The sequence below is a fragment of the Homo sapiens genome, chromosome 9 (genome assembly GCF_000001405.40).
Source record: "Homo sapiens chromosome 9, GRCh38.p14 Primary Assembly".
Lineage (NCBI taxonomy): Eukaryota > Metazoa > Chordata > Mammalia > Primates > Hominidae > Homo > Homo sapiens.
Window position 1 is genome coordinate 114,738,786 of NC_000009.12, and position 8,794 is coordinate 114,747,579.

At 39.9% G+C, this 8,794-nt stretch overlaps 1 annotated feature.

The window, feature by feature from the left end:
• Positions 201–250: an enhancer, noted in NCBI's record as "active region_28880". NCBI's record gives its function as "activates an Ori minimal core promoter by ATAC-STARR-seq in GM12878 lymphoblastoid cells {active_cell/tissue: GM12878}" and the evidence as "EXISTENCE:reporter gene assay evidence [ECO:0000049][PMID:35858748]".

The following is an 8,794-nucleotide window of genomic DNA, read 5'->3' on the forward strand; positions in this document are numbered from 1 at the left end:
ACCTTGGCCCTGGATGGGGGTCGAGGGTTTGAGGTCTGGCCTTGGCTCTGACAGTTGTCCTTGGTGTGACCTTAGGCAAGTCACTCTCACTCTTGGGTCTTTCATTGTCCCATCAGTAAATGAGGATGTTAGACTAAATGGTGTCAAAGATCTCTTTCACTTCTGAAATTCCACGATTCTGTGAGTTCTGTTTTTGTAGCCTTGCAGCCCGTTTGAAAACCATACCCTTTCCATTTAAGCCCACCAGAGGGCGATATGCCCCACGTGTTGGTCCTGCCCCGGTCCAAGAGACCTAATCACTGGGTTAAGTGCCTTAGAAGAGGAAGCCATGACTCAATCCCTGCTTCTAGGGAAGAGAGATGGAAGTGGACACTATTTAAGTTGCTTCTTGGATCTGCGATTGACCAGGGCTCTTCACGTCCATTTTCTCTTTGATTTCATGTCAGTTCCCTGGGCCACATGCCAGTTTCTTATTTCACAGGGAACCAAGACTTAAGGAATTGAAAGGACTTACCTTGGACTAGGTGGGTTTCCAGTGGTAGGCCCAAGACCTTACCTCTCCATCTGTGACTTGTCCTTCTGGGCCTTTTCCAGTGGATCTCAAGAGGCTGCCTCTGTTTCTAAGGGGCTCCTGCTGAACTAATAAGACAATTTACACATGAGTTGATTAAGGCAAAATACGAAACCGTATTAGAGTCAGGACTAGGAGCTACACTGCATGGATAGACAAACACTTCTTTCCAATGAAGCTCTTCTTCTGGGATTTGGACTAAATGATCTGTTAAATGTGAACTTCCATAGGAACTATAATGGTCTTGATTCTATGTTGCAGACAGTGGAATCCACTCTGGCTCATTTAAGTAGCAAAGGAATTTTTGAAAGGGTATTAGGAAACTCTCAGAATCTCCAGGAGAGGCAGAGAGTGAGAATCTGAAATTATGTAGCCAGAAACCATGACTAATTCCAATGTGGGGGCTTTTCTAGAAAAAAACCCACTGCTACATTTGCTTGCCCCCTCAGATGTTCGGAATTGGGCACATCATGGAAACTAATATTGACTGAGCATCTCCTATACAGTGGGCTTTGTGCTGGGCATGTATCTTATTTAATCCTATGGGATGGGTATGGTTATCCCTAATTTATATATAAGGAATGCAGGCTTGGGGAGTTTGATGACTTGCTCAATGAAACCCACCTCTCTCTGACTTCAAAATCTAGGCTCCAACAGAACAAGAGAATATGGACTTTGGGTTGAAACTAGGAACCACCACTAGTCCCCAAAGGGCAAATTCAAGGGAGGAGGGACTTTCTCTGTGTTTCTTACTGCCTTTGTAACTCTTTTATTGTCTAGTAATTTGGAAGAAGAGGAGCACAAAGGAATGTTAAATTCTAATTTTCTATTATTATTTTTTGCCTCTGGTTCTTCTGATCAGTAGAAATAGCTGCAAAGGAAGGGAGTCTTTCCCATATGATGCTTTGTGGGCATTACTTGGATCTCTCTTTGAATAAAAAATTGTTGGACTTGGAAGAGACCATGACATAGATTTATTCAATCTTGTTAGTTTATGAACTGGGAAACTGATTAGAAAACTACTTGCCCAAAGTCATATACTGTAATAAGATAATGGCTTTCATGCATTCAACAAATGTTCAATGAGTTGCCTACTACTTGCCAGTAAATGGACACAGTGTAAGATAGACAACTTCTCTGTTGCCATGAAGCTTTATATAAACAGAGATCCTAGAGGTAGCTTCACTTGTAGTTCTCCAACCTTCAAATAATCTGAAACAAAAATACTTTTCGCTCTTGGCTAGCCACATGTAGAAGAATGAAATTGGATCCTCATCTTATACAAAAATCAACTCAAGATGGATTAAGAATTTAAACCTAAGACCTGGAACTATAAAAATTCTAGAAGATAACATTGGAAAAACCCTCCTAGACACTGGCTTAGGCAAGGATTTTGTGACCAAGAACCTGCAAGCAAATGCAATAAAAACAAAGATAAATAGTTGGGACCTAATTAAACTAAAGAGCTTTTGCAAGGCAAAAGGAACAGTCAGCAGACTAAACAGAAAACCCACAGAATGGGAGAAAATCTTCACAATCTGCGCATCTCACAAAGGACTAATATCCAGAATCTACAACAAACTCAAATCAGTAAGAAAAAAACAGACAATCCCATCAAAAAGTGGGCTAAGGACATGAATAGACAACTGTCAAGATATACAAATGGCCAACGAACATATGAAAAAATGCACAACATCACTAATGATCAGAGAAATGCAAATCAAAACCACAATGCGATACCACCTTACTCCTGCAAGAATGGCCATAATAAAAAAAGCAAAAAACAGTAGATGTTGGCATGGATGCGGTGATCAGGGGACACTTGTGCACTGCTGATGGGAATGTAAGCTAGTACAGCCTCTATGGAAAACACTGTGGAGATTCCTTGAAGAACTAAAAGTGGAACTACCATTTGATCCAGCAATCCCACTACTGGGTATCGACCCAGAGGAAAAGAAGTCATTATTTGGAAAAGATACTTGCACATGCATGTTTATAGCAGCACAATTCATGATTGCAAAATCGTGGAACCAACTCAAATGCCCATCAATCAACAAGTTGATAAAGAAACTGTGGTATATATAGATGATGGAATACTACTCAGTCATAAAAAGAAATGAAAAAAGGCCACTGCATTTGCAGTGACCTGGATGAGACTGGAGACTATTATTCCAAGTGAAGTAACTCAGGAATGGAAAACCAAACATCGTATGTTCTTACTGATATGTGGGAGCTAAGCTATGAGGACACAAAGGCATAAGAATGATACAATGGACTCTGAGGACTTAGGGGGAAGAGTGGGAAGGGGGTGAGGGATAAAAGACTACAAATAGGGTGCAGTGTGTACTGCCTGGCTGATGGGTGCACCAAAATCTCACAAATCACCATGAAAGAACTTACTCTTGTAACCAAATACCACCTGTACTCCAATAACTTATGGAAAAATGAAATAAAAAAATAAAATTTAAAGTAAAAAACACTTTTGGCTCTTTTTCTTAATTTTTTTTAAACAATAAAGATAAAATGACAATTTTATCCAATGGCAGATAAATAGAAAAAAGTTTAACTATATTAGTTATCAAAAAATACAAACAAACCTTTTTTCCTTATCGATTTGCAAATATTTAGAAAAAAAAGACTGCCCAATGACGATGAAAGAATGTGGAATTCCACCGTCTCATACACTATTGACATAAATATAAATTAGCTTTTGTGAAGGAAAAAATTTGCAATATGTATCAAAACATTCTTGACCCAGAATTTACTTCTTAGATTATCTCCTGGAAAAATAACTCTGAATGTGTATGAAGATACATCAAATAAGGATCACAGTGTGATGTATAATAAACAGCAAAATCTGGCAATAATCTAAATGTTCAACATCTGATTGATTATATAATGTATGCTACAGCCACTCTATTGGTCAGGATTAGATTTGGCCATGTGTAACAGAAAATCCTAAATAACAGTAACTTAAACATAAATGGATTTGCCCTTTTCTACCTAAACAAAATCTGGAGGTAGGTAGTTTGGGTCACAAAGTTATTTAGAACTCAGGTTCCTTCTGTGTTTTCACTATTGCTATTCTTCGTGCAAGTTCAAGCTGTCTGCTAGAGCTACAGCTATTGTGTTCACATTCAATATGGAAGAGAGGAATGGCAACGTGCACAGCTTATTGGCCAGACCTTGATAATATGTATCTGCAAAGAGACTTGGAAAGGTAGATCTTTAGCTGGACACATTGCCTACAGCTTTGGCATAAGGAACAGAAAGAAATGAGAGAGAATGGGCATTGGATAGGCCTATGGTCTTCAAAAAACCTTGCTCACATGTTCCTGAAAAGGATTTTGAGTCTGGTCATGGTGGCTCATGACTGTAATCCCAGAACTTTGGGGGGCCGGGGTCAGGACTTTGAGACCAGCCTGGCCAACATGGTGAAACCCTGTCTCTACTTAAGATACAAAAATTAGCCAGGCATGGTGGCATGCACCTGTAGTCCCAGCTACTATGGAGGCTGAGGCATGATAGTTGCTTGAACCCAGGAGGCAGAGGTTGCAGTGAGCCCATATCAGGTCACTGCACTCCAGCCTGGGCGACAGAGCAAGACTGTCTCAAAAAAAAAAAAAAAAAAAAAAAATTTTGAAAAATTATCTACCATTTTGTACTTCTTTAAATTGTTCCTGATTTTTTTTTAAAATCACAGGTGTACATGAATATGAAGAATACAACTTCTGGCCCATTGTAAATATTGACATAAAAAATAAAGCTGTTGCATCATCTCTTAAAATACACCCAATGGAATGTAAATACCATTGTGATGTAATAGCCACCATCCTCCACCTAAAACATAACTCAAACTGTTGGCAAATCTCTATTTTTCTTTTTTCTCATTCTACTTCTTCTACAGACTTTTTCCTAATATAGTATATATTTTTCTGTTTGAAAGTTTTTTGAATTGACCACCTTATACCTTTCCGCCACAACAATATATATAGAAATATAAATTTTAACTTCATGTGGCTTTAAGATTTTAAAAGTATTAAAATATTTCTTTGGATTATCATTACAATTATTAATACTAGGTGGGGAGCAGTGGCTTATGCCTGTAAATCCCAGCGTTTTGGGAGGCTGAGGCGGGAGGATCGCTTGAGCTCAGAAGTTCAAGACCAGCCTGGGCAACATAGTGAGACACTGTCTCTACAAGAAATTTTTGAAAAAATTAGCCAGGCATGGCAGTGCATGCCTGTGGTCCCAGCTGCTTGTGGGGCTGAGGTAGAATTGCTTGAGCCTGGCAAGTCAAGGCTGTGGTGAGCTATGATTGTGCCACTGCACTCCAGCTCCTGGAGGGTATGGTATCTGCATAAACTATTTGGTATTTTTTTTGGTATAGCAGATTTGTCTCTTCTCCTTTTGTTAACTTAGTCACTCTTTTTTGTTTATATCAACACAGACTCATGGATATTTATTTTATACTTTGGGCCATAATCCAATACTATCTTATTGATTTGGTTGCTCAAATGGTTCCAGCTTTGGCCATTGGATGATCTTTTAATTGGCTACTGGGTCCCTTGGAAATAATCCCATCATTTTGTCTTTTGAGCATTTTCTTACTTTTTAGCATGAGAGGCCATTTCTTTTTTTTTCTTTTTTCTTCAACCTTTATTTTATTTATTATTATTATTATTTTATTTTATTTTTGAGACAGTCTCACTCTATCGCCCAGGCTGGGGTGTAGTGGTGCAATCTTGGCTCACTGCAACTTACGTCTCCTAGGTTCAAGCAATTCTTGTGCCTCAGCCTCCAGAGTAGCTGGGATTACGGGTGAGCACCACCACGCCAGGCTAATTTTTTTTTTTTTGTATTTTTGGTAGAGATAGGGTCTCACCATGTTGGCCATGGCTGGTCTCTAAATCCTGGCCTCAAGTGATCTGCCCGCCTTGGCTTCCCAAAGTGCTGGGATTACAGGTGTGAGCCACCGTTCCTGGCCTTCAACTTTTATTTTAGTTTCAGGGGTACATGTGCAGGTTTGTTACATGGGTATATTGTTACATGGGCAGGTTTGGGGTAGATTGATCCTGTCACCCAGGTATAAGCATAGTACCCGAGAGGTAGTTTCTCAGCCTTTGCTTCCCTTTATTCCTCCTCCCTCTTATGGTCTCCACTGTCTATCTTTCCCATCTTTGTATCCATGTGTACCCAATGTTTAGCTCCCACTTACAAGTGAGAATATGTGGCATTTGGTTTTCTGCTTCTGTGTTAGTTTGCCTAGGATAATGAGATGTCATTTCAGATCACTAAATTAAAATAGCACTTCATCTCCAACCAATCCCTCTCTATGACACAACCTTTAAGATATTTTTATGGAATGAATCACTATAAAAATTATCTTTTTTAAATTTTAAATTTTGTGGGTTCATACTAGGTATATAGATTTATGAGGTACATGAAATGTTTTGATATAGGCATGCAATGCATAATAATCACATCTTGGAGAATAGAGTATCCATCCCCTGAAGCATTTATCCTTTGTGTTACAAACAATCCAATTATACCCTTTTAGTTATTTTAAAATGTACAATTAAGTTATCATTGACTATAGTCACCCTGTTGTACTATCAAACAGTAGGTCTTATTTATTCTATATTTTTTTGTACCCATTAATTATCCTCACTTTCCCCCCAACCTCCACTACCCTTCCCAGCCTCTGGTAACCATCCTTCTACTCTCTATGTCCATGAATTCAATTGTTTTGATTTTAGATCCCACAAGTAAGTGAGAACATGTGACATTTATCTTTCCCTGCTGGCTTATTTAACTTAACATAATGACCTCCAATTCCATCCATGTTGTTGCAAATGACAGAATCTCATTCTTTTTTAATGGCTGAATATACTCCATTGTGTATATGTGCCACATTGTCTTTATCCATTCATCTGTTGATGGACTCTTGGCTTGCTTACAAATCTTGGCTATTGTGAATGGTGCTGTAACAAACATGGGAGGGCAAATATCACTTCGATATCCTGATTTCCTTTCTTTGGGTATATACCCAGCAGTGAGACAGCTGGAACATACAGTAGCTCTATTTTTAGTTTTTTTGAGGAACCTCTGAACTGTTCTCCATAGTGGTTGTACTAATTTACATTCCCACTAACAGTGTACAAGGGTTCCCTTTTCTCCACGTCCTTGCCAACATTCGTTATTGCCTGCTTTGGATCTAAGCCATTTGAACTGTGTACAATTATGTTTTTTGGAGATGGGTGGAGTAGAGGAATGTTATTTTTTGGTGACTAAACCATGTATTTTTGTCAGCGATTACTCTCGCTTCCTAGTGGTCCAGTAGCTCCTATGTAAATAGTCAAATTCAGCCAACTTAGACCACAGAGCCTCCTGTGCCATGTAAAGAGGATTCTCCTCTACTGAGACAACAAGACCATGAGGAGCAAGGCGGATGTCACATTAGAGATGTTCTGATTGGGCTGGGAGAGGAAGGGGAAAACCTTGTTAGGGTGAGGGTCAGAGGATGCAAAGACTCAGATGTGTGTGTCCCATTCTGACCCTGCTTGTCTGGACTAATATCTGGAAGGGGAGGCCTTCCTCAAGATGAAGGGAGCACCCAAGCAGAGGAGGTTTGTGCTGGGTCGCTGGAGGATGCTTCTTTGCTGGGTCACTCATGTCAATTAGGGAGAGGAGGGTGGTGCAGAGAAGAGGCAGCACTTTCAGAAGCACAGAGGCAGAGCTGCAGAGCCAGATGTGGTACCACTTGTTGGGCGGGGAGCAGTCTTGGTCCTGGCTGCTCCTCCATGGAGTGAGAAGCATCCAGACAATTCCTGCATCCATCCTGGGGGCACTCTTCCTGGGGAGGAGATTGTGGCAGAGGCTTAGCATGGGTACCCTTCTCATAGGCCCAGTGGAGTATGTGACTGAGGCCCAGCAGAACCTTCAGGGCTAGCCAGAGCTGAGGCGGGGCTGAGTCACCCAGGGAGGACAACACAGGTCCATATCAGGCCTGGCATCTGTCAGTCATGTGTGAGGACCCAGAGGCCAGAGCATAGATCAGAGGCCCCATCTTTTAATATCATAGTGACACCACACCAGTCTCCTTACTCACCCAGAACAGAGAAAAAGAAAAGGTGAGGCTTTACCCAAAAGAACCTGAGATGAAAGAGACTATTGCACATGGAAATTACTGAGATAACTGTTAATTGGCAAATTGAAGTTTCCCTCTCTGTTTTCTTTACTGGTGAATCCCCAGACATTAGAACTGTGCTTGGCACAGAGAAGGCATCCAATAAATGTTTGAATGAATGAACCACAGAGACAATAACCCACTTCAGGAGGCCAGACTGGGGGAAGAAAGGCAATGCAATCCCATTCCATCTGGTTTTAAAAAATTGTTCTCCAGACCTTTATCCAAACTCCTCCTTCTCCTGCTATAAAACAAATGTTCCCGTGGCTAGCAATGAATACAAACAGATGTCGTGGAACAGTGATGGTGATTGCAAGAGAGAGGGGAGGATGCAGGCTTTGTGTCTCTAGGAGCATCTAGATGCCAGCTCAGCTTTTAAAAAGGCTTTTTCTGTGCTTTTCTTTATTTGTCATAGTTCTAATAATTCACAAGTGTTGATTTTGAATTCAGCAAAGGGAAATCTATTCAAACTGCTTTTGACAGCCTTTGGCATCCATTGTTTGGGATTGTTTTGTTTGTTTGTTTTTTTCTGTTTAAATATCAGGAGGTGGTATAGTACAACAGCTAAGAGGGTGAACTCTGGAGTCAGAGTGCCTGATGTCAAATCCCAGACTGACATTTGCTAGCTTTGTGACCTCTGGGAAACTAATCCTCTTTAAGCCTTAGCTTATTGACTGAGCTCCACTTGTCTCTTAGACACTGGTCCAATTTTTTTCATCCATTCTTGTTACTTTCTATGCTTCTATTTGCATATTTTCTATTGACTTGTCTTCTCCTATGTCTAGTCTGCTGTTAATGTATCCATGGTTTTAATTCAAACATATTTTTCAGTTCTAGAAAGTCTACTTGATTCTTTTTCATAAATTCTGACTCTCTTGAAATTCCTTTCTTTCCCACTATTCTAACTTCTATTTTCTTGACTATATTAAAATAGTCATTTTAGAGTCTCCATCTAATAAATCTGAGATTATCTGAATCATCTTTGAGTCTGTTTCGGTTGTCTATTTTAAATTTTCATCATACCTCATAATTTT